A 24,836-nucleotide genomic window follows, 5' to 3' on the forward strand; every position below is an offset into this window, starting at 1 on the left:
GCGGCACTAGCCTCATTGCTCTCGGATGAGCACACCTATTGTGTACCACTCAGGGCGCCTGTGTCTGGACTGGCAGCCTTTCTTAGATGCTTTGGGTGGTGGTTCTGTCTTATCCTTCAGCCAGCAGCTCAGAGTCCTCCCCTCAAAAGGCCTTTCCCTGACCACTCCATCTAAAGTAGCTCACCCCAGCCTCCTATATCTTTTTTTTTTTAATAATGCAACAGAGAAGGTGATATAGGTGCATTGACAGGCCTTCTTTTATTAGCTTGAGCCATTATTATTATTATTATTATCTGAGATGGAGTCTTGCTCTGTCACCCAGGCTGGAGTGCAGTGGCACGATCTCGGCTCACTGCAACCTCTGCCTCCCAGGGTCAAGCAATTCTCCTGCCTCAGCCTCCTGAGTAGCTGGGATTACAGGCGTACACCACCATGCCCGACTAATTTTTGTAGTTTTAGTAGAGATGGGGCTTCACCATGTTGGTCAGACTGGTCTCGAACTCCTGACCTCGTGATCTGCCTGCCTCAGCCTCCCAAAGTGATGGGATTACAGGCGTGAGCCACCGTGCCCAGCCTTCTTCTTCTTCTTCTTCTTCTTCTTATCATCATCATTTTGAGATGGAGTCTCTACCTGTCACCCAGGCTGGATTGCAGTGGGGCGATCTTGGCTCACTGCAACCTCCGCCTCCCAGGTTCAAGCAATTCCCCTGCCTCAGCCTCCTGAGTAGCTGGGACTTGTATTTTTTAGTAGAGATGGGGTTTCCCCATGTTGCCCAGGCTGGTCTCAACTCCTGACCTCAGGTGATCCACCTGCCTCGGCCTCCCACAGTGCTGGGATGACAGGCATGAGCCACCACGCCCAGCCACCAGTCCCCTATATCTTATGTTCTGGTACATTTTGCTATACAAAAACAACTTATGTGTGTGTTTGCTGACTCATTGTCTCTCTCTTGCATGTGTGAACAGAGCAGCAGCAATAATGTTTGCATGTCTTGTTCACTGGCCATGTCCCCTGGGCATAGCATACGGTAGGGAATTCACTTTGGATGAAGAAAAATGATCCTCTTGCATCCATTCAGGATGAATGCATTCTACCCTCAGAGTCCTCTAGGGGGCACCCGCACATGAATGCGCCCCTGCAGGGCACAGTTCTTGAGTTGTTTTTGTTTAACTGGCCTGCACCTGTTATTTTGTTTGTGTGTGTGTTTGGGTTTCTTCTTCTTCTTCTTTTTTTTTTTTTTGAGACGGAGTTTTGCTCTTGTTGCCCAGGCTGGGGTGCAATGGCGCGATCTCAGCTCACAGCAACCTCCGCCTCCTGGGTTCAAGTGATTCTCCTGCCTCAGCCTCCTGAGTTGCTGGGATTACAGGCATGTGCCACCACACCCAGCTAATTCTGTATTTTTAGTAGAGATGGAGTTTCTCCATGTTGGTCAGGCTGGTCTCGAACTCCCGACCTCAGGTGATCCGCCCACCTCGGCCTCCCAAAGTGCTGGGATTACAGGCATGAGCCACTGCAACCAGTCTTTTTTTTTTTTTTTTTTTTTTTTTTTTTTTAAGATGGGGTCTTGCTCAGTTTGTCCAGGCTGGAGTGTAGCAGTGCAGTCACAGCTCACTGCAGCCTCGCACTCCTGGGCTCAAGTGAGCCTCCTGCCTCAGCCTCCTGAGTAGCTGGAACTATAGGCACAACCACCTTGCCTGGCTAATTAAAAAAAAAATTTTTTTTTTAAAGAGTCAGGGTCTTGCTATATTGGCCAAGCTGATCTCAAATTCCTGACCTCAAGTGATTCTCCCACCTCAGCCTCCCAAAGTGTTGGGATTCCAGGCATGAGCCACCATGCACCAGGTCTGGCCTACAGCTTTTAACTACACATTTAGAAAGAGAAACCACAAGTGGTAAAAGCCTGGGTTCTGCCCTAGATTACCCGAAATGAGCTATTTTTATAGAAGCCTCCTGTGTGCAGGGGCTCATGCTAGGCCCCAAGGGCAGGCAGAGGTTGTTTTTTGTTTTTTGTTTTTTAATTTGTTTCTTTTTGAGACAGGGTCTCACTCTGTCGCCCAGGCTGGATGCTGTGGTGCAATCTCAGACCTGCAACCTCTGTCTCCCAGGTTCAAGGAATTCTCCTGCCTTGGCCTCCGGAGTAGCTAGGACAACAGGCACGCACCACCACGCCCAGCTAATTTTTGTATTTTTAGTAGAGACGGGGTTTCACCATGTTGGCCAGGATGGTTTTGAACTCCTGACCTCAGATGATCTGCCCGCCTCAGCCTCCCAAAGTGTTGGGATTACAGGCGTGAGCCACCGCGCCTGGCCTAAGGCAGAGGTTGTTGACTGGTCTCAGTTGCTGCTTGGAAGGGCCCCAGTCTCCTGCAGGGAGGGAGGGAGGATCCCACTATGGCTCCCAGAACTTTGCTTCCCAGCAAGAGGCACTAAATCAATCCCATGCTTGAGGATGGTGGGCCCTGAGAGAAATGAATCTTGGCCTCCAAGTGTTCAGACTGTGTGGGGGACACCTGCTATTTACATTTGTGAAATGGGGCTGGTGACCTTGGCTCAGCGATGGGCTCCATCTCATCTCCTCCTGGAAGCTTGATGGAGGAAAAGCATCTACAGCCATTTGTTATCACTGGGCTCCTTGCCTGAAAGATTATAAATACTTCGTTAAAATACATACATCCATAGTGATGTGTTTTGACTTGGTAATAGATTTCAGGGTAGACGCAAGCCTCCTCAGCCACCCCTGTTTTCCAGTTGCCCAGAGTTCCTCCCTTTCTGTTTTTACTGATTTCTTCTGTATCTTTCTGGAAATATCCATTGCATATATATACACACACAGATATATATATATATGCATGTATAAATGTGTGTGTATATATATATGTGTGTGTGTGCCGATATAAGACATTGTTTTAAGTATTTTACGTGCATTGAGTCATGTAATATAAATATACTTTTATATTGCTAATACATTAATATGTTTAAAATAAGAAAATTATACAGGCCAGATGCAGTAGTTCACACCTATAATACCAGAGCTTTGAGAGGTCGAGGCAGGAGGATCACTTGAGGCCAGGAGTTCGAGACCAGCTTGAACAACATAGGGAGACCCCTGTGTCTACAAAATATAAAATAAAATATAAAAAATAAAACCCGGCTAGGCACAGTGGCTTACACCTGTAATCCCAGCACTTTGGGAGGCTGAGGTGGGCGGATCACAAGGTCAGGAGTCCAAGACCAGCCTGGCCAACATAGTGAAACCCTGTCTCTACTAAAAATACAAAAAAAAAAAAATTAGCCGGGCATGGTGGTAGGCACCTGTGATCCCAGCTACTCAGGAGGCTGAGGCAAAGAGAATCGCTTGAACCTGGGAGGTGGCGGTTGCAGTGAGCCGAGATCACGCCACTGCACTCCAGCCTGGGTGACAGTGTGAGACTCCATCTCAAAAAATGAAAAATAAAAATAAATAAATTAAGCCCGCCTGGCGTGGTGGCTCATGCCTATAATCCTAGCACTTTAGGAGGCCGAGGCAGGCAGATCACGAGTTCAGGAGTTCGAGACCAGCCTGGCCAACGTAGTGAAACCCTGTCTCTACTAAAAATACAAAAAATTAGCTGGGCGTGGCAGCATGCGCCTGTACTCCAAGCTTCTTGGGAGGCTGAGGCAGGAGAATTGCTTGAACCTGGGAGGTGGAGGTTGCTGTGAGAGCCGAGATTGTGCCACTGCACTCCAGTCTGGGTGACAGGGTGAGACTCTGTCTCTAATAAATAAATAAATAAGTAAAACAAACCCTAGCCAGGGAGACAGCTGTGGTCCCAGCTACTCAGGAGGCTGAGGTAGGAGGATCTCTCAGACTTAAGAGGTCAAGGCTGCAGTGAGTCGTGATCATACCACTGCACTCTAGCCTGGCAACAGGGTGAGACCCTGTAATAAAATACATAAACAGTGATGTGTTTTGACTTGGTAATATATTTCCGGGTAGACTGTAAGCTTCTCATCCATCCCAGTTTTCCCATTTTCCAGCGTTCCTCCCCTTCTGTTCTTATTGATGTCTTCTGTATCTTTTTGGAAATATCCATGGCATATATATATATATATATATATATATATACACACACACACACACACACACACACACACATATACACACATATACATGTGTGAATATACATGTGTGAATATATATGTACTGATACAAGGCATTATTCTAAGAATTTTACTTTTATTTTTATTTTTATTTTTTTGAGACAGAGTCTCACTCTGTTGCCCAGGCTGGACTGCAGTGGCTGAGGCTCACTGCAACTTCCCTCTCCCAGGTTCAGGCAATTCTTGTGCCTCAGCCTCCTGAGTAGTTGGGATTACAGGCACCAGCCACCACACCCAGCTAAATTTTGTATTTTTAGTAGAGAAGGGATTTCACTATGTTGGCCAGGCTGGTCTTGAACTCCTGGCCTCAGGTGATCCATCTGCCTCAGCCTCCCAAAGTGCTGGGATTACAGGCATGAGCCACCGCACCCAGCCTATTCTAAGAATTTTATATGCATTGAATCATGTAATATAGATATAATTTTTTTTTTTGAGACTGAGTTTCATTCTTTGTCCAGGCTGCAATGCAATGGCATGATCTCAGCTCACTGCAACCTCTGCCTCCCAGGTTCAAGCAATTCTCCTGCCTCAGCTTCCCAAGTAGCTGGGATTACAGGCGCCTCCACCACGCCCGGCTAATTTATTGTATTTTTGGTAGAGATGGGGTTTCACCATGTTGGCAAGGCTGGTCTCAAACTGCTGATCTCAGGTGATCCCCTGCCTTGGCCTCCCAAAGTGTTGAGATTACAGGCATGAGCCACCATGCCCAGCCTGATATAATTTTATAAAGCTAATACATTAATATGTCTATTTTTTATTTTTTATTTTTTTGAGATGGAGTTTTGCTCTTGTTGCCCAGGCTGGAGTGCAATGGTGCGATCTCGGCTCATCACAACCTCTGCCTCCCAGGTTCAAGCGATTCTCCTGCCTCAGCCTCCTGAGTAGCTAGAATTACAGGCATGCACCACCACCCCAGCTAATTTTGTATTTTTAGTAGAGATGGGGTTTCTCCATGTTGGTCAGGCCGGTCTCGAACTCCCGACCTCAGGTGATATGCTGGCCTTGGCCTCCCAAAGGGCTGGGATTACAGGCGTGAGCCACTGCGCCCAGCCAATATGTTTAAAATAGAAAAATTATACAGGTCGGGTGCCAAATTTTTTTGTAGAGACAGGGTCTCACTATGTTGCCCAGGCTGGTCTTGAACTATTGGCTTCAAGCAGTCCTCCTGCTTTGGCTTCCCAAAGTGCTGGGATTACAGGCATGAGCTGCCCTGTCCGGCAGGCTCCTTTTAACAATCAGCTCTCATGGGAACAAATAGAGCAAGAATTCACTCATTACCCTGAGAAGAGCGCCAAGCTCTTCATGCAGGATGGGCCTCCACGACGCAAACACCTCCCACAAGGCCACAGGCCTCCAACATTCAGAATAAATTTTCTTTTTTCTTGAGACAGAGTCTCACTCTCTTGCCCAGGCTGGAGTGCAGTGGCGCAATCTCGGCTCACTGCAACCTCCACCTCCCAGGCTCAAGCGATTCTCCTGCCTCAGCCTCCTGAGATCACAGGCGCTCGCCACCATGCCCGGCTAATTTTTGTATTTTTAGTAGAGAGGGGATTTCACCATGGTGGTCAGTCTGGTCTCAAACTCCTGACCGCAGGTGATCCACCCACCCTGGCCTCCCAAAGTGCTGAGATTACAGGTGTGAGCCACCGTGCCCAGCCCAGGATCAATTTTCAACATGAGATTTGGAGGGGACAAATAGGTAAACCATATAAATATCCTTATTTTTATGTTTTCTCACCTGTAAGATTGCATCCTCATGCATCATTGTTCACTTAGGACTTCCTCCTAGAAAGCTTTTCATTTAGGTAAACAGAGCTTCCTCATCCTTTTAAGAAGATACAGACATGTTTGCATTATTGAATCTGCCATCGTTCATCTCACCAGTCCCCTATAAGATGGAGTCTTGATCTATTTCCAGTCTTAGAAGTACATTCAGCAGGGGAGTTTTACAAATCAAATAGATTTCCTTCGTCGTTCCCCCAAAAATGCAGCCTACGTCTTCAAAACCGAAGACTTCAGTCTATTTTGCTTAAGGATGACAAAAGTCACCATCTGTTAATCCAATCTGCATCAGGAGAAAAACGAAAATCATCTCATGCGCATGAAACCTCCTCTTGGGCTATGTGAAGGGGAATTCCTGAGGGTCTCTTGCCATGCAGCAGGGAGAGCCTCTGGCTGTGGTGGCTCTTGTTTGGATCCAAGAAGCAGAGGAGGAATGTGTTGAAGGACTTTGAGTAAAAGCAAAAGAGCCGGGCGCGGTGGCTCACGCCTATAATCCCAGCACTTTGGGAGGCCGAGGCGGGCGGATCACGAGGTCAGGAGATCGAGACCATCCTGGCTAACATGGTGAAACCCCGTCTCTACTAAAAATACAAAAAATTAGCCAGGCGTGGTGGCAGGTGCCTGTAGTCCCAGCTATTTGGGAGGCTGAGGCAGGAGAATGGCCTGAACCCGGGAGGCAGAGCTTGCAGTGAGCAGAGATAGAGCCACTGCACTCCAGCCTGGGTGACAGCGAGACTCCCTCTCAAAAAAAAAAAAAAAAGCAGAAGAGCCACGACCTGGCTCATGCCTATAATCCCAGCACTCTTGCGAGGCTGAGACAGGTGGATCATCTCAGGTCAGGAGTTTGAGACCAGCCTGGCCAACATGGTAAAACCCCATCTCTACTAAAAATACAAAAAAAAAATTAGCCGGGCATGGTGGTGCATGCCTGTAATCCCAGCTACTCGGGAGGCTGAGGAAGGAGAATTTCTTGAACCCAGGAGGCAGAGGTTGCAGTAAACTGAGATCGTGCCACTACACTCCAGCCTGGGTGACAGAGCAAGACTCTGTCTAAAAAAAAAGCAAAGGATACATGGAAAGGCTACGGAATCCGGCTCAGGAATGTGGCAGGAGGCCAAGAATAGACAGCAGCAAGAATGTTCCTAATATCAGATGCAGCCACACCCCGGTGGGGAAGCCACCATTACCACCACCACCACTGGGCACTGCCCTCCTGACATTGACTAGTGACACCTTTGCCCTTGCCACTGTACTTTAATTTTCTTTCTTTCTTTTTTTGAGACAGAGTCTCACCCTGTTGCCCAGGCTTCAGTGCAGTGGTGCGATCATAGCTCACTGCAGAATTGAACCCACGGGCTAAAGAGATCCTCCTATCTCAGCCTCCCAAGTAGCTGGGACCACAGTTGTACATGACCACACCCAGCTAGTCAGTGTTTTTCTAAAAAAAAAATTCATAGAGCCAGCCGAGGTGGCTCATGCCTGTAATCCCAGCACTTTGGGAGGCCGAGGCAGGCGGATCACGAGGTCAGGAGTTTGAGACCAGCCTGGCCAAACCCTGTCTCTACTAAAAATACAAAAAAATTAGCTGGGCATGGTGGCCAGAGCCTGTAATCCCAGCTACTCAGGAGGCTGAGACAGGAGAATCGTTTGAACTCGGGAGGCATAGGTTGCAGTGAGCTGAGATCACACCACTATACTCCAGCCTGGGTGACAGAGCAAGACTCCATCTCAAAAAAAAAAAAAAAACCCAAAACCAAAAAACATAGATACTAAATTTTGTCAAATATTCTTTTAGCATATATAAGATGATCATACTGATTTTTTTTTTACTTTGTTAATATGATAAAGCTCATTAATGGTTTTTGAATATTAGCCATTCTGGGCTGGGCACAGTGGCTTACGGGTGGTTTTGGGAAACTGAGGCAGGAAAATTGCTTGAGCCCGGGAGTTCAAGACCAGCCTGGGCAACATGGCAAAACCCTGTCTTTACTAAAAACACCATGCTGGGCATAGTGGTACACACCTGTATTCCCAGCTACTCAGAAGGCTGTGGAGGGAGGATCGCTTGAGGCCGGGAGGTTGAGGCTGTAGTGAGCTGTGATCACGCCACTGTGATCACGCCTCTGCACTCCAGCCTAGGAGACCCAGAGAGACTCTGTCTCAAAAAAAAAAAGAAAAAGAAAAAGAAAAAGAAAAAAAAGCCATTTTGGCATTTCTGGAATAAACCCCAGTTGGTCACAATGTATTTTTTTTTACTCTACCGCTGGAGTCTGAATGCTAATACAGGCTGACACACTCCAAAACCCAGAGCTCTATTCTGAGCCTAAGGAGTCCACACGAAATGAAGGCTGTGCTACCGTGCCATAGCCACAAAGAGCACTTGAAACCTGGCTAGTGAGACTGAGAAACCGAATTTTAAATTTTATTATTATTATTATTATTTATTGAGACGGAGTTTCGCTCTGGTTGCCCAGGCTGGAGTGCAATGGCGCGATCTTGGCTCACTGCAACCTCTGCCTCCCGGGTTCAAGCGATTCTCCTGCCTTAGCCTCCTGAGTAGCTGGGATTACAGGCAGGCATCACCACGCCCAGGTAATTTTGTATTTTTAGTAGAGCCGCGGTTTCTCCATGTTGGTCAGGCTGGTCTCACACTCCCGACCTCAGGTGATCCGCCCGCCTCGGCCTCTCAATGTGCTGGGATTACAGGCGTAAGGCCCCCGCCCGGTCTATTATTATTATTATTATTATTATTATTATTATTATTGAGACAGAGTCTCGCTCTGTCGCCTAGGCTGGAGTGCAGTGGCGTGATCTCTGCTCACTGCAATCTCTGCCTCCTGGGTTCAAGTGATTCTCCCACCTCAGCCTCCTGAGTAGCTGGGACTACAGGCATGAGCCTCCACATCTGGTTAATTTTTGTATTTTTATTAGAGATGGGGTTTCATTATGTTGGCCAGGCTGGTCTCGAACTCCTGACCTCAAGAGATCTGCCCGCCTCAGCCTCCCAAAGTGCTGGGATTACAGGCATGAGCCACCGCGCCCAGCCAATAGAGTTTATTTTTAAAAGCATTTTTAGGTTCACATAAAAATTGAGCAGAAGGTACAGAGATTTCCCTGTCCCCACACATGCACAGCCTCCCCAACTACCACCATCCCCAGCTAGTGGTAGATTTGTTACAGTGGATGAACCTCCGCTGATTTGACATGTCATCTTCACCCAGGGTCCACGGTTTACACTGGGGTTCACTTGGTGTCATAGAATCTATAGGTTCATACAAATGTATAATAATCAGTATTTACCACTATGGTGTCATAATACAGTTTCATTCTCCTAAAATATCTCTTACTCTGCCTATTCATTGCAACCCCAACTCTCCTGACTTTTTTCTTATTTTTTTTTTAAACTTTTTAAAAATGTTGCTACTACTTCTTTGGGAGACTGAGGCAGGTGGATCGCTTGAACTCAGGAGTTCAAGACCCGTCTTCGTAACTGAGTGAGAACCAGTCTCTACCAAAAAAAAAAAAAAAAAAAAAATTAGCCTGGCATGGTGGCGAGCACCTGTAGTCCCAGCTACTCTGGAGGCTGAGGCAGGAGGATTGCTTGAGCTCTGGACGTCGAGGCTGCAGTGAGCCGAGATCACGCCACTGCACTACTCCAGCCTGGGCGGCAGAGCGAGACCCTGTTTCAAAAAAAAAAAAAAAAAGGAAGCAGAAATGCATTCACAGGCTTTGCTGCTAGGTGGTTATTATTTTTTGTTTGTTTGTTTGTTTTTTGAGAGAGAGTCTCAGTCACTCTGTCGCCCAGGCTGGAATGCAGTGGTGTGATCTCAGGTCACTGCAAACTCTGACTCCCAGGTTCAAGTAATTCTTCTGCCTCATCCTCCTGAGTAGCTGGGATTACAGGCATGCACCACCATACCTGGCTAATTTTTGTATTTTTAGTAGAGACAGGGTTTCACCATGTTGGCCAGGCTGGTCTTGAACTCCTGGCCTCAAGTGATCCGCCTGCCTCAACCTCGCAAAGTACTGGGATAACAGGCGTGAACCACTGCACCTGGCCAATCACTACTTTGTGTGTCCAGAAAATTTTCTTCCTCCTAAAAAGAAATCTTCTACACTTGTATCATCCCCATCCCTTGAGTGTGGGAGGAACGTGTTACTTTCTTCTAACCAATACGGCATGGCAAAGGTGGTGCTTATATGTTGTAGAAGATTTCTTGCTAGCTGACACACCCTAGAGTCTCTCATCACTGACTTTGAAGGAGCATGCACTGATGAGTTGATGAGGGTTTTTTGTTTGTTTTTTTGTTTTTTTTTGAGATGGAGTCTCGCTCTGTCTCCCAGCCTGGAGTGCAGTGGTGCGATCTTGGCTCACTGCAAGCTCCGTCTCCCAGGTTCACGCCATTCTTCTGCCTCAGCCTCCCAAGTAGCTGGGACTACAGGTGCCCACCACCACGCCCGGCTAATTTTTTGTATTTTTAGTAGAGACGGGGTTTCACCGTGTTAGTCAGGATGGTCTCGATCTCCTGACCTCGTGATGTGCCTGTCTCAGCCTCCCAAAGTACTGGGATTACAGGCGTGAGCCACTGTGCCCGGCTGAGTTCTTTTTTTTTTTTTTTTTTGAGACAGGGTTTTACTCTGTCATCCAGGGGCTGGAGTGCAGTGGCGTGATCTCGGCTCACTCCAACCTCTGCTTCCCAGGCTCAAGTGATTCTCCAGCCTCAGTCTCCCCAGTAGCTGGGACTGCAGGTACCACCAATACCTGGCTAATTTTTGTATTTTTATAGAGATGTGGTTTTGCTATGTTGCCCAGGCTGGTCTCCTGAGCTCAAAACAATCTGCCCTCCTTAGCCTTCCAAAGTGCTGGGGTTACAGGTGTGAGCCACCGTGCCCAGCCCCTGATGAGTTCTAAAGTCACAAGGAAACAAATTCTGCAGCAAGCTGAGTGAATTTAGAAGCACGTCCTTTCCCAGCGGAGCCTTCAGATCAAAACTCAGTGCCGGGCCGGGCGTGGTGGCTCACGCCTGTAATCCCAGCACTTTGGGAAGCCAAGGTGGGCAGATCACTTGAGGTCAGGAGTTCAAGACCAGCCTGGCCAATGTGGTGAAACCCTGTCTCTACTAAACATATGAAAATTAGCCGGGGTGATGGCATGTACCTGTAATCCCAGCTACTCAGGAGACTGAGGCAGGAGAATCGCTTGAACCTGTGAGGCAGAGGTTGCAGCGAGCCGAAATCGTGCTACTGCACTCCAACCTGGGCGACAAGGTGAGACTCCATCTCAAAAACAAACAAACCAACAAACAAAAAACACAAAAACAAACAAACAAACAAACAAACCCAAAACTCAGTCCTGGCCAATACCTTGATTACAGCCTCACAGAGAACCTGGCTAAACTGTGCTAAGCTCCATAGAAACTGTGAGATAATAAATGCACACATATATATGCATATATATGATATGTGTGTGTGTGTATTTTAAATCCAACGAAATATTCTTTGAGTAGGAACATTGACTATCAAAAAGAGAAGAATTGTAACAGCAATAGTAAGGTTATGAGAAGAATGTCTTTAGAGATGAAAAAGAGGAAAAGAATTGACGGCTGGGCACGGTGGCTCACGCCTGTAATCCCAGCACTTTGGGAGGCCGAGGCAGGTGGATCACCTGAGGTCAGGAGTTTGAGACCAGCCTGGCTAACAGAGTGAAACCCCATCTCTACTAAAAATACAAAATTAGCCGGACGTGGTGGCCCATGCCTGTAGTCCCAGCTATTCGGGAGGCTGAGGCAGGAGAATTGCTTGAACCCAGGAGGCAGAGGTTGCAGTGAGCAGAGATCGCACCACTGCACCCCAGCCTGGGTGACAGAGTGAGACTCCATCTTAAAACATAAATAAATAAATAAAAAGAAAAGAATTGACCTGAGATGAAAAAAACAACTTATTTGTTTTTAGAGGACAGTCCTAGAAATGTAGCCAGGTGGCTGGACGCGGTGGCTCATGCCTGTAATCCCAGCACTTTGGGAGGCCGAGGCAGGTGGGTCACCTGAGGTGGGGAGTTTGAGACCAGCCTGACCAACATGGTGAAAACCCCGCCTCTACTAAAAATACAAAAAAATTTAGCTGCGTGTGGTGGTGGGTGCCTGTAATCCCAGCTACTGGGGAGACTGAGGCAGGAGAATCGCTTGAACCTGGGAGGCAGAAGTTGCAATGAGCCAAGACCACCTCTTTGCACTCCAGCCTGGATGACAAGAGCGAGACTCCGTCTCAAAAAAAAGAAAAGAAAAAACACACACATTGGTGTCAGACGTGTTGCGAGTGGAAACCACTTCGTAATCTTTATCCCAAGTGAACTCTCCCCCTAAAACCTCTATTACAGGGAATGCTATGATGCCATGTGGTAGATCAGATGACCACTCTGAGGATCTGGATCAGCCTCCTTCCCTGGCATCCTCAGGGCTTGCTCCATAGGTTCAGGAGCAAAGTGGCCGAGGTGGACTACACCACCTACGTCACTGATGAATGCCCACCTAGCTGGCAGTAGCAAGTGCTGATCCCCCAGTGTGGTACAGTTTCCTAGGAAGACCAAAAAGCCAAATACCTGGGCCCGTGAGGATTACACTGGAGCCCTTTCATCCTGGGCTGGGCAGGGAGTTTTTCCTCCCTCGAGTAAACAACTCTGGGCTTGTTATTTGCTTTTCTTGCCCTTTGCACTTCTGCCAACAGCAGCATCTGTGTATGCACTGAATGGCCCTATTCACCCTCATGTTAACCCGCACAGTATTGCTTCTGATCAAGGAGCTCCATATATTAGGAAGTCAGTGGGGGGCAGTCCATGTACCCCATTACCCCAAAGCAGCCAGCCTCATGGAACAGCACGGCCTGTTTGAGACTGGGTTACAGGGCCAGTTTGGAGTCATCATCTTTGGGGTCGGGGTGCTGTTACAGGATGGGTAACCACTCTGAACCAGGGGTACATGCCAGATGATCCCAGATTACAAAGACCTGTGAACTCAAGAGTGCCATTTCTTTCTTTTATTTTTCTCTCTCTTTTTTTTTTGAGACGGAGTTTTGCTCTTGTTACCCAGGCTGAAGTGCAATGGCATGATCTCAGCTCACTGCAACCTCTGCCTCCTGGGTTCAAGCGATTCTCCTGCCTCAGCCTCCCAAGTAGCTGGGATTACAGGCACATGCCACCCCGCCCGGCTAATTTTTTGTATTTTTAGTAGAGACGGGGTTTCACCATGTTGGCCAGGCTGATCTCGAACTCCTGACCTCAGGTGATCCACCCACCTCGGCCTCCCTCCCAAAGTGCTGGAATTACAGACATGAGTTGCTGCATCGGCCAAGAGTGCCATTTCTTAGGACCACACCCGATGACTCACTCTTCAAATTTTTATTTGTTTTGTTGTTATTTTTTGTTTTGAGACAGAGTTTCGCTCAGTCACCCAGGCTGGAGTGCAGTGGCAATCTTGGCTCACTGCAACCTCCACCTCCCGGGTTCAAGCCATTCTCCTGCCTCAGCCTCTGGAGTAGCTGGGATTACAGGCGGCGCCACAACGCCTGATTAATTTTTTTGTATTTTTAATAGAGACGGGGTTTCATCATGTTGGCCACGCTGGTCTTGAATTCCCGACCTCAGGTGATCTGCCTGCCTTGGCCTCCCAAAGTGCTAGGATTACAGAGGTGAGCCACCGTGACCGGCCTTCACTCTTCAAATGTTTGCTTCCTGTTCCTGCTACCCTGAACCCTGCTGTTGAGGGGTTCTAGTGTCTACAAGGGAACCGCTGCCACCACGAGGAATAACACAGTAAGTTGTGTAAGTGGAGACCACCTCTGGGCCGTTTGGGGTACCTTGAGTGTGTCACTATGGGGTTAGGCAGTGACTAATTTAGGCAGGAAGGGGAAAGATTTGCTGCTACACTTGGGGCCAAGGAGGCCTGTGAATAGAACCTAGAGGCGTCCCAGGGGAGTCTCCAACTAACACCATGTCCCGACTCCCTATCTGTCCACAGCCCTCCCTCCTTGGACAAGGACAAGGCCTGATCTGGGTGCACTGAGACCTCCCTCCCCTATGCAGGGCCCAGAGTGACAAAGAGGGTCTGTGTCCCCTTCCCTTTGCAGAAGCACATCAAGCCCGCACACAGGCTCTACCTTCCTCTACCCAACCCCCTCTCCACTCCTGCAGACCCCCGCCTTCCTGCAGGTCCCCCTCCGGCCCCTCCCTGCTCCGTAGGGCACGTAGACCCGGATCCCCAGCTCCCGGACCCCTTCCGACTGCTCCCTTCGCCACTCGCGCGGCTTCCACTCCTGGACTCGGCCTCCACCCCTGGGCTTGGCCTCAAAGCCTCCTCAGTTGTCGGCCCTGGAAGGTGCCCAGCGGCGGCAGCGCCAGACGCGCCCCGTTAGCTCAGCGTCGCTGAGCATCCGCAGCCGCCACCAGGCCCCGCCCAGCGGCCGCAGCCAGCCAGGCCGCGCCCGGGACGACTGCAGAGCGCGGTGAGTGAACGCGGCCAGAGGGAGGGACTCAGGCGTCCCAGGTCCCCGCCCTGCCCCTCCCCGGGGGCCCGACATCCCGACCCTCAGCTCCCTCTTTTTCTTTTGGCTCCGGCAGTCCGTTTTAGGGCCGCAGAGCCGCCTTTTAAAAACACACCCTGCATCCCTTCCCTGCCCTGGGGCTTCGGGCCCACCAGCCCCTTGGATCCCTTCCCCTCTTGCAGGATCCGTGAATCCAGAGCCCCAAGCCCCAGCCCCAGCCCCATCCTCATTAAAATTCTGAGTCCCTCCCTCCATCCAGGAGTCAGGAATGTAGGCCAAAAATATCGCTGCCTTCCAGACCCAGGCGGCTAGGCTTGCAACACCTGCTCGGAAAACCCGAGTCTGAGCTTTAATGGTTCTATTATGATGATCATGATGATTTATTTTTAATAGAGCAGAGTCTCCTTATGTTGCCCAGGCTGGTCTCGAACTCCTGGGCTCAAGGGATCCTCCCTCCTCAGCCTCCCGAAATGCTGGGATTACAGGCGTGAGCCACCGCGCCCAGGCCTGATTGTTCTTTTGAGCCAAGAATCTGGGCCTCAGCCTAGGCATCCTGTGGAGCCCAGGAATCCGGGCCCCCAACTGCTACCGCGCTAGCTCCCAGGAATTTTGCCCCCAACACACCCCACCCCTATCCACTGTGATATCTGAGACCTGCGTCCAGCCCGAGTCCCTTACCCTGCGGCGCCCGGTGCCAGTGGGTACTAGGGGAGCATTTTGCCGCCCCTTCAAGTCCTTAAATACAGGAATCTAGCCTCTGTTTCTTGGGGAGACCCATCAGTCAGGGATCGTAGCCCAGAACCACCTAAAGCCCAGGAATACTGCTCTCAATTCTGCTCTCCCTCAGGGCTCCAAGAGACAGAGATCCTAGCCCCCCCATTGAACTGAGGGGCCTGGTCCCCCAATCCGCTGCGACCCAGGTGTCTAAGGTTTCATCCGGCAAGGAAGGGGTGGGGGCGGAACAGACCAGGAAGGAGGGGGTAGGAAGGGAGCGGAAGAAAGGAGTGAGGTGAGACGGGGGCGGGGACCTGAGCTGGGGGGCTCTGCACTAAACAAACCCTAAACATGCGGGGTTTCTATGGTAACGGTCTTCCCTGGCCTACCCGGGAGACTCCTCTAGGGCTGTGTCGAGGAGGGCAGCCCCCAGGAGTCTCCACGCCGCCAGCTGTTGTGTCTTCCTGTTTTGTCACCACGGCAACCGTGACCTCAGCCCTCCACCCTGCTCACTGGGGTGGGGCGGGAGCTCCACGCTACTTTTACTCTGGGGGGCGTGGTCTGCTCTTGGCCCCGCCTCGGGGCGGGGCTGGGATAGCCCAGACTCGGGGAAGTCCCTGTCCACCGCCCTAGCCGGAGCTGCGCCCCGCCCCGGCCCCGCCCCCGTCCCGCCCGCGCTGGCTCCCCAGCCCTCCAACCCCACCCAGCCCTCAGACCCTTCCAGCTGCCGCTGTCGTCTTTGCTTCAGCCGCAGTCGCCACTGGCTGCCTGAGGTGAGGTTGTGGGGACCCCAGAGGGCATAAGCAACAGTCTAGGGTCTTTATGGCCAGAGAGAGGAATGGGCTGGGTCTCAGAATGTCTGGGTCCCTAGAAAGACTGGGGCTGGGCCAGGATTCTTGGGGTTCTGCAGAGGAGAGGGCTGAGGACCTGGACTGTGGAGGTCATACGTCTGGAAGAGTGGGGAAGGGGACCTGGACTCCGGGGTCTGAGGGAGGAGGGGCTGGGGGTCTGGACTCCCGGGTCCGAGGCAGGAGGGGCTGGGGGGTCTGGACTCCTGGGTCCGAGGGAGGAGGGGCTGAGGGCCTGGACTCCTGGGTCTGAGGGAGGAGGAGCTGGGCCTGGACTCCTGAGTCTGAGGGAGGAGGGGCTGGGTCTGCGGGAGTAGAGAGATGGGGACTCGTAGGTGCCCTAGTTGGAGGCTGGAATCTGGTACGTGGAGGTCCTTTAGGAGGGGAAGCGCTTAGGGTTAGGTGTCCTGGGTTTGGGAATGAGAATGGAAGGAATTCAGAATTACTGACCCCTCCCCATCCAGGGGACAGACAGAATCGGAACTTTGGGCTCCTGAAAGGCCGAGGGAGGGGGGTGTTAAGATCCAGCCCCGTGCTTCCGAAGTGCAGAAGGAGCTGGGAAAGGAGGAGAAGACAGGGCTGCGTCCCGCACCTCTGGGTGCCGAGAGCCGAAGCTGGGGTTCCGGGGCCCGATTCTCAGCGTGAGCGATGGGTGTGGCGTCTGGAGTGGACGAGGGAGGACACTGAGGGGCTGGGTGTGGCCCGGAGAGTCGGGTGCGCTGCGAGGAATCCCGGAGGGGTGTTTCCTCACCCTCCAGGGTCTGGCTGCGCATTCCTGAGCTCTGATCTCGGGCGATGGCTGGAGGCCCTAAGGGCGGGGTGGACCCCTCCCCTCCCCTCCCCTCGGCGCGCCCCCCTCCCCTGCGCGCCCCCCTCCGCGGCTAGCCCACCTTCCGCGGGGGACAGAATGAGTGACGCCCTCGCTCGTCCTCCTCCCCTGCTTGGGACGGGGCAGTAGCCCGCCTTCTAGAGCACGGGACGCTGGGCCAGTCCCGATTTCCTTCTCCTTCGAGGGTCCTGGAGGGGCGTGGGGGCAGGCAGTGTCTGGCTCCGGGTGGAGCCTCCCAGGTGCTCCCGCAAGCCCCGAATGGCGATTAGGGAGGCCGTGGGAGGCGTAGCTGGGCCTCGGGCCTGACGCCAGCACCGCGTGCAGTTTCCGGCCTGGAGCCTGAGCCCCTCAGAGGCCCGGGTCCCTGCCCACTCCGGTCTTAGAGATGCTCTTGGGGGGGCTCTCAGCCCATGTTTATAGGGATCCAGAAATGCAGGCCTCCAACCCTGAGAGTCGGGGTCCCCACCCCCCGGAAATCCGGGAGAGGGCGGGCAGCCCCGGAGGCGGGCGGGGGTCCGGGCACCGCCTCCTGGTCCCTGACACATTCCAGATGCCTGGGCCGACTCGAAGCCCTTATAAGGCGCGGAGACACCGGCTCTGGCTGGGCCGCCCGCCTCCACAGCCGCCGCCCAGGGTTCTCCCGCCACTGCCGCCCGCACCCCCGCCCCCGCGGGGTTAAGATCACACACGCGCCCACGCCGGCCCGCGGGGCGTGCACTTTCGCTGGGTTCCGTCCGCCGCAGCCCAAACAGTTAACTGAACGGGGAGGGGAGGGGGCGGGGCTTACCCGGGGTCACCGCCAGGGCCCTGCTGGGTTCCACGCCACGTTCCTGTCTCCGCAGGGCGTTCGATCCCTAGAGGGAGGAGCCTGTCCAAACGGACGCTAACGGCCTACCTCCCCCTCAGGTGCTCTTACAGCCTGTTCCAAGTGTGGCTTAATCCGTCTCCACCACCAGATCTTTCTCCGTGGATTCCTCTGCTAAGACCGCTGGTGAGTAGGCAGCGGGCCTGGACTCCGGGGTCCGAGGGAGGAGGGGCTGGGGGCCTGGACTCCGGGGTCCGAGGGAGGAGGGGCTGGGGGCCTGGGCTCCTCGGTCCGAGGGAGGAGGGGCTGGGGGCCTGGGGGCCTGGGCTCCTGGGTCCGAGGGAGGAGGGGCTGGGGGCCTGGGCTCCTGGGTCCGAGGGAGGAGGGGCTGGGGGTCTGGACTCCGGGGTCCGAGGGAGGAGGGGCTGGGGTCTGGACTCCTGGGTCCGAGGAAGGAGGGGCTGGGGTCTGGACTCCTGGGTCCGAGGAAGGAGGGGCTGGGGGCCTGGGCTCCTGGGTCCGAGGGAGGAGGGGCTGGGGTCTGGACTCCTGGGTCCGAGGGAGGAGGGGCTGGGGTCTGGACTCCTGGGTCCGAGGGAGGAGGGGCTGGGGGCCTGGACTCCGGGGTCCGAGGGAGGAGGGGCTGGGGGCCTGGACTCCGGGGTCCGAGGGAGGAGGGGCTGGGGTCTGGACTCCTGGGTCCGAGGGAGGAGGGGCTGGGGGCCTGGGCTCCTGGGTCTGAGGGAGGAGGGGCTGGGGGCCTGGGCTCCTGGGTCTGAGGGAGGAGGGGCTGGGGTCTGGACTCGTGGGTCTGAAGGAGGAAGGATTAGGTCCTGGGCTCCTAGATCCTGGGAGAAGGACCAGGAAGCTTGGGCTCCAAGGAATAGGGTCCCAGACACTGAGGTATCTGAGGAAGAAGCGAGTCCAGGCCCTGGCTCCTTTGTCTCAGGGAGCTGCTGTCCTGCGACTGCCACGAAGAGGTTAAGGCCTGTGCTACTGCCCTGCAAAGTGCCTGAAGCTGAAAGGAGGAAGTTACTTTCCTGTGGCTAGGAGAGGCCTTGGGTTTAGTCCTGTGGCTGCGTTGAGACAGTTTACAGCCTAAGGAAAGAACTGGGCACCTGGTTTCTAAGAGGACGGGCACTTGATTCCTGGGGGCCATTAGGACAAGGAGGTGGAAGCTGTAGGTTTTGCAAGGACTAAAGAAGCAAATTGGTTTTCTGGAGTCTGGGGCATCTGGGATCCTTCAGGCTAAGGGTCCAGGGCCAGAGGTCTGACCCCTTATAACAGGACGGTGATGGCCAGGCGCAGTGGCTCATGCCTGTAATCCCAGCACTTTGGGAGGCCAAGGCGGGCGGATCACTTGAGGTCAGGAGTTTGAGACCAGCCTGGCCAACATGGCGAAACCCCATCTCTACTGAAAATACAAAAATTAGCCGAGCATGGTGGCACACACCTGTAATCCCAGCTACTCAGGAGGCTGAGGCAGGAGAATCGCTTGAATCCGGGAGGCGGAGGTTGCCGTGAGTCAAGATCGCACCATTGCACTGCAGCCTGGGTGACAGAGCGACTCCATGTAAAAAAAACAACAACCAAAAAACAGGATTGTGAGGCCTAGAGAGAGTTCAGTGGAAGGGCCTGGGGTTCCTACTGGACAGTTGGAAATCTGGGGAGCTGAGTTTCCCAGAAGCTGGGGGACCAGCTGGCTGGGTTTTGGGGAGAGAAGGTGGAGGTAGATGGACTCAGTATGCAGGAGTGTGGAGGGGGAGGCTCAAACTAGCTTTTTTGGGTTGCAGTACTCCAGTCCTAAATCTCAGGTGGGAGTTAGACTGAGAGTGAAGGTTGCTAATCTCCAAGGTGGGGGGTAGGGAGAGGAGGAGGCCGCTAAGAGTTTAGGCTCCTTGTCAGAAGGGAGGGGAGATCTCTTGGTTTTCCACGGCTGGGATCTCTATGAGAAGATATCCTTTATCGGGAGGTCGGAGCTCTTATTAGATGTGGGTCCCTGAGAGTGGAAGCCTGGGGAGGTTGGGCCGTTTAGAGGCTGCAAATGTCTAGGTCACTGTTCGATGGAAGAAGGAAGTTTGCTCACAGGGTCTGGGGTGCAGAGCTCTGAATACTGAAAGAAAAGGAAGTTGAGAGATGGGGTTTTCAGAGCCTGTGGAAGACAAGCGTTTTGTTCTGACACTTGGGTTGTGGCAGGAGGCAGAAGGAGGATGCTTTATTTTTTATTTATTTTATTTATTTTTATTATTTTATTTTATTTTTTGAGATGGAGTTTCACTCATGTCACCCGGGCTGGAGTGCAGTGGCGCAATCTCGGCTCACTGCAACCTCCACCTCTAGGGTTCAAGCGATTCTCCTGCCTCAGCCTCCCAAGTAGCTGCGATTACAAGCGCCCACCACCACACCCAGCTGATTTTTGTATTTTTAGTAGAGACGGGGTTTCACCATGTTGGTCAGGCTGGTCTTGAACTTCTGACCTCAAGTGATCTGCCAGCCTCGGCTTCCGAAAGTGCTGGGATTACAGGCATGAGCCACTGCGCCCAGATTATTTTATTTTTTTTGAGGCGGAGTGTGGCTCTGTGGCTCAGGCTGGAGTGCAGGGGTTCTATCTTGGCTCACTGCAACCTCTGCCTCCTGGGTTCAAGTGATTCTCCTGCCTCAGTCTCCCGAGTAGCTGGGATTGCAGGTGCATGCCACCACGCCCAGATAATTTTTGTATTATTAGTAGAGACCGAGTGTCGCCACGTTGGCCAGGCTGGTCTCCAACTCCTGACCTCAAGTGATCCACCCACCTTGGCCTCCGAAGTGCTGGGATTACAAGTGTGAGCCACCACACCCGGCCTATTTGTAATTAAAAAAAATTTTTTTTTTTTGAGTCAGGGTCTCACTCTGTCTCCCAGGCTGGAGTGCACTGGTGCATCACAGCTCACTGCAGCCCTGACCCCACAGGCTCAAGCAATCCTCCCACCTCAGCATCCCGAGTAGCTGGGACCACACGCACACACCACCACACCCAGCTAATTAAAAAATTTTTTTTTGGTAAATGAGGTCTCCCTAAGGTTGCCCAGGCTGGTCTCCAACTCCTGGGCTCAAGCAATCCTCCTGCCTCAGCCTCTTGGAGTGCTGGGATTACAGGCATCAGCCACACCTGTGCCTGGCCAGAGGGGTGGTGCTATAGAGTACAGAGTGCTAAATGGCTGAGCTACTGAGTCCCTTGGGGAGGGAGGGAAAGAGGGAAGCACGGTATCTGGAGTGGGAAGCAAACAGTGTAGTTGTACAGTAGTTAGGTCTTGAAAGAGAGAAGAATCTCTTGAGAAGGAGGAAAATAGGGGCCTAGACTCCTGGATTCTGATACGAGTAGGGGAGGAGTGAGCCTTGAACCGGAGGGGACAGGCTCATCCCTGTATGCCCAGGACTGTCCCCATTTGAAAACCCAAGGCTGGGCCCGGTGGCTCACGCCTATAATCCCAGCACTTTGGGAGGCCAAGGCCAGCGGATCATGAGGTCAGGAGATCGAGACCATCCTGGCTAACACAGTGAAACCCCGTCTCTACTAAAAATACAAAAAAATTAGCCGGGCGTGGTGGCACATGCCTGTAATCTCAGCTACTCGGGAGGCTGAGGCAGGAGAATCACTTGAACCTGAGTAGCAGAGGTTGTAGTGAGCTGAGATTGTGCCAATGCACTCCAGCCTGGGCCACAGAGCAAGACTCTGTCTCAAAAAAAAAAAAAGAAAAGAAAACCGAAAGCCCCACATCTTGGGAACTCCCTAATTAGAGCTCATATTAATTTGTCCCTGGGGTAGGCAATGGCTAAGGGACCTGGATTCTTATGTTTGTGACTGTATAAGGACACTGTCTTTCCCCTTTTTGCAGCCATGCCAGTGACGGTAACCCGCACCACCATCACAACCACCACGACGTCATCTTCGGGCCTGGGGTCCCCCATGATCGTGGGGTCCCCTCGGGCCCTGACACAGCCCCTGGGTCTCCTTCGCCTGCTGCAGCTGGTGTCTACCTGCGTGGCCTTCTCGCTGGTGGCTAGCGTGGGCGCCTGGACGGGGTCCATGGGCAACTGGTCCATGTTCACCTGGTGCTTCTGCTTCTCCGTGACCCTGATCATCCTCATCGTGGAGCTGTGCGGGCTCCAGGCCCGCTTCCCCCTGTCTTGGCGCAACTTCCCCATCACCTTCGCCTGCTATGCGGCCCTCTTCTGCCTCTCGGCCTCCATCATCTACCCCACCACCTATGTCCAGTTCCTGTCCCACGGCCGTTCGCGGGACCACGCCATCGCCGCCACCTTCTTCTCCTGCATCGCGTGTGTGGCTTACGCCACCGAAGTGGCCTGGACCCGGGCCCGGCCCGGCGAGATCACTGGCTATATGGCCACCGTACCCGGGCTGCTGAAGGTGCTGGAGACCTTCGTTGCCTGCATCATCTTCGCGTTCATCAGCGACCCCAACCTGTACCAGCACCAGCCGGCCCTGGAGTGGTGCGTGGCGGTGTACGCCATCTGCTTCATCCTAGCGGCCATCGCCATCCTGCTGAACCTGGGGGAGTGCACCAACGTGCTACCCATCCCCTTCCCCAGCTTCCTGTCGGGGCTGGCCTTGCTGTCTGTCCTCCTCTATGCCACCGCCCTTGTTCTCTGGCCCCTCTACCAGTTCGATGAGAAGTATGGCGGCCAGCCTCGGCGCTCGAGAGATGTAAGCTGCAGCCGCAGCCATGCCTACTACGTGTGTGCCTGGGACCGCCGACTGGCTGTGGCCATCCTGACGGCCATCAACCTACTGGCGTATGTGGCTGACCTGGTGCACTCTGCCCACCTGGTTTTTGTCAAGGTCTAAGACTCTCCCAAGAGGCTCCCGTTCCCTCTCCAACCTCTTTGTTCTTCTTGCCCGAGTTTTCTTTATGGAGTACTTCTTTCCTCCGCCTTTCCTCTGTTTTCCTCTTCCTGTCTCCCCTCCCTCCCACCTTTTTCTTTCCTTCCCAATTCCTTGCACTCTAACCAGTTCTTGGATGCATCTTCTTCCTTCCCTTTCCTCTTGCTGTTTCCTTCCTGTGTTGTTTTGTTGCCCACATCCTGTTTTCACCCCTGAGCTGTTTCTCTTTTTCTTTTCTTTTTTTTTTTTTTTTTTTTTTAAGACGGATTCTCACTCTGTGGCCCAGGCTGGAGTGCAGTGGTGCGATCTCGACTCACTGCAACCCCCGCCTCCTGGGTTCAAGCGATTCTCCTGCCCCAGCCTCCCAAGTAGCTGGGAGGACAGGTGTGAGCTGCCGCACCCAGCCTGTTTCTCTTTTTCCACTCTTCTTTTTTCTCATCTCTTTTCTGGGTTGCCTGTCGGCTTTCTTATCTGCCTGTTTTGCAAGCACCTTCTCCTGTGTCCTTGGGAGCCCTGAGACTTCTTTCTCTCCTTGCCTCCACCCACCTCCAAAGGTGCTGAGCTCACATCCACACCCCTTGCAGCCGTCCATGCCACAGCCCCCCAAGGGGCCCCATTGCCAAAGCATGCCTGCCCACCCTCGCTGTGCCTTAGTCAGTGTGTACGTGTGTGTGTGTGTGTGTGTGTGTGTGTGTGTTTGGGGGGTGGGGGGTGGGTAGCTGGGGATTGGGCCCTCTTTCTCCCAGTGGAGGAAGGTGTGCAGTGTACTTCCCCTTTAAATTAAAAAACATATATATATATATATTTGGAGGTCAGTAATTTCCAATGGGCGGGAGGCTTTAAGCACCGACCCTGGGTCCCTAGGCCCCGCCTGGCACTCAGCCTTGCCAGAGATTGGCTCCAGAATTTTTGCCAGGCTTACAGAACACCCACTGCCTAGAGGCCATCTTAAAGGAAGCAGGGGCTGGATGCCTTTCATCCCAACTATTCTCTGTGGTATCAAAAAGAAAAAAAAAAAAAAAGAAGGAGTCGGGGCCGGGCGTGGTGGCTCACGCCTGTAATCCCAGCACTTTGGGAGACCAAGTCAGGCAATCATCTGAAGTCAGGAGTTCAAGACCAGCCTGGCCAACATGGTGAAAGCATGTCTCTATTAAAAATACAAAAATTAGCCGGGCGTGGTGGCGGGCGCCTGTAATCCCAGGTATTTGGGGGGACTGAGACAGGAGAATCCCTTCAACCCGGGAGGTGGAGGTTGCAGTAAGTCAAGATGGCACCACTGTGCTCCAGCCTGGGGGACAGAGCGAGACTCCATCTCAAAAAAAAAAAGGAATCGGACGAAGAACCACAGGATGTTGAAGACAACTGTCTGAAGTATTTGTGAGGGACAGCGATGTGGCCCTCTGTGTTAAGAATAACGTGTCCTGCTTTGGCAGAGAGAAGAAAATAGCCACTGCCCGCTTTCAAGGCAAGATCGACCTTTTCTGTTTTGTTTTGTTTTTCTTTCTTTTTCCTGGCCATGAGGACAAAAATTACTGAGTGGCCCTTAAAGAGGGAAGTTTGTTTTCAGCTGTTCTCTTTTGCCCGTAGGTGGGAGGGTGGGGATTGCTGCGTCCTAGCTAGAGGAATGGCTTTGCTTGAATGTGTAGTGCACACGCACGGGTGTTTCTGTGTGCTAGTTGCTTCTTGCTGCTGCTTCCTGCTTGTCTGGGACTCACATACATAACGTGATATATATATATATATATATAAATGTATAAATATATATTTTATTTTTTTTTAAATCCCTGGAGCTTCTGGTTCCTATCAGTTCCTGTTGTTAATCGTAGAACCGTTGTCCCTTCCCCCATTCCCGTATCCATCATGTTCTTTTTCTTTTAAATATCAATATAAAGGTAAAAGAAGGACTTGTGCTTTCTTAATGAGGAGGGCGGCCGAGCACGGCGGGCGGATCACTTGAGGTCAGGAGTTTGAGACCAGCCTGGCCAACATGGTGAAACCCCGTCTCTACAAAAAAATAAAAAAGAAAAGCGGGGGAGGACTCTCGGAGAGGGGCAAGGGCCAGATTCTTGGGTCTAGTGGGAGAATAGGGTTGGTGCCAAGACAACCTTGGCCTCATCAGAAGATACTAGCTGGATCTAGGTCTTCTAAATGACTTCCTCAAACCAGGAGGGCTGGGTGGGATAGAAATGAACTAGACTTCTCCCTCCTTGGAGTCTGTCCCCTGAGCACCTCACAAATACAACGTCCTAATTTGAGTGAAGGAGCTTTCCTCCCCAGTCACCTCGTCCTCCCAGGTCCCC

At 52.5% G+C, this 24,836-nt stretch overlaps 1 protein-coding gene and 1 long non-coding RNA gene across 13 annotated transcripts, besides 5 other annotated features; one reads left to right on the plus strand and one right to left on the minus strand.

The window, feature by feature from the left end:
- Positions 1-235: 235 nt before the first annotated feature.
- Positions 236-17,109, minus strand: MYADM-AS1 (MYADM antisense RNA 1). Its single transcript, NR_184033.1, has 3 exons — positions 16,911-17,109; positions 5,880-5,966; positions 236-2,637 (listed from the first exon to the last, which is right to left on the minus strand). It is a non-coding gene; the product is annotated as an MYADM antisense RNA 1 (long non-coding RNA).
- Positions 6,018-6,518: an enhancer, noted in NCBI's record as "H3K4me1 hESC enhancer chr19:54361270-54361770 (GRCh37/hg19 assembly coordinates)". NCBI's record gives its function as "activates a minimal SCP1, AML or CMV promoter by ChIP-STARR-seq in primed H9 embryonic stem cells {active_cell/tissue: H9 hESC(primed)}" and the evidence as "EXISTENCE:reporter gene assay evidence [ECO:0000049][PMID:30033119]".
- On the plus strand, positions 13,630-24,437 carry MYADM (myeloid associated differentiation marker). Of its 12 annotated transcripts, none has more exons than NM_001290193.2 (3): positions 13,630-13,730; positions 17,756-17,840; positions 21,530-24,437. In NM_001290193.2, the coding sequence occupies exon 3, from the start codon at positions 21,532-21,534 to the stop codon at positions 22,498-22,500; it is 969 nt and encodes a 322-aa protein (NP_001277122.1). In that variant the 5' UTR covers positions 13,630-13,730; positions 17,756-17,840; positions 21,530-21,531; the 3' UTR covers positions 22,501-24,437. The 12 variants fall into 12 exon arrangements, with proteins under 12 accessions (NP_001277122.1, NP_001277117.1, NP_001018656.1 ...); NM_001290188.2 differs by lacking the exon at positions 13,630-13,730 and adding an exon at positions 14,373-14,419 and having other exon boundaries at positions 17,692-17,840; NM_001020820.3 differs by lacking the exon at positions 13,630-13,730 and adding an exon at positions 14,373-14,419.
- Positions 14,690-15,665: an enhancer, noted in NCBI's record as "H3K27ac-H3K4me1 hESC enhancer chr19:54369942-54370917 (GRCh37/hg19 assembly coordinates)". NCBI's record gives its function as "activates a minimal SCP1, AML or CMV promoter by ChIP-STARR-seq in naive H9 embryonic stem cells {active_cell/tissue: H9 hESC(naive)}" and the evidence as "EXISTENCE:reporter gene assay evidence [ECO:0000049][PMID:30033119]".
- Positions 16,775-17,688: an enhancer, noted in NCBI's record as "NANOG-H3K27ac-H3K4me1 hESC enhancer chr19:54372027-54372940 (GRCh37/hg19 assembly coordinates)". NCBI's record gives its function as "activates a minimal SCP1, AML or CMV promoter by ChIP-STARR-seq in naive and primed H9 embryonic stem cells {active_cell/tissue: H9 hESC(naive and primed)}" and the evidence as "EXISTENCE:reporter gene assay evidence [ECO:0000049][PMID:30033119]".
- Positions 17,441-17,500: a silencer, noted in NCBI's record as "silent region_11012". NCBI's record gives its function as "represses an Ori minimal core promoter by ATAC-STARR-seq in GM12878 lymphoblastoid cells {active_cell/tissue: GM12878}" and the evidence as "EXISTENCE:reporter gene assay evidence [ECO:0000049][PMID:35858748]".
- Positions 17,689-18,602: an enhancer, noted in NCBI's record as "H3K27ac-H3K4me1 hESC enhancer chr19:54372941-54373854 (GRCh37/hg19 assembly coordinates)". NCBI's record gives its function as "activates a minimal SCP1, AML or CMV promoter by ChIP-STARR-seq in naive H9 embryonic stem cells {active_cell/tissue: H9 hESC(naive)}" and the evidence as "EXISTENCE:reporter gene assay evidence [ECO:0000049][PMID:30033119]".
- Positions 24,438-24,836: the final 399 nt, after the last annotated feature.

This window comes from Homo sapiens, chromosome 19, assembly GCF_000001405.40.
Source record: "Homo sapiens chromosome 19, GRCh38.p14 Primary Assembly".
Taxonomy (NCBI): domain Eukaryota; kingdom Metazoa; phylum Chordata; class Mammalia; order Primates; family Hominidae; genus Homo; species Homo sapiens.

Coding starts and splice junctions, on each gene's coding strand:
- MYADM (NM_001290193.2), top strand. CDS start 21,532: ATGCCAGTGACGGTAACCCGCACCACCATCACAACCACCACGACGTCA.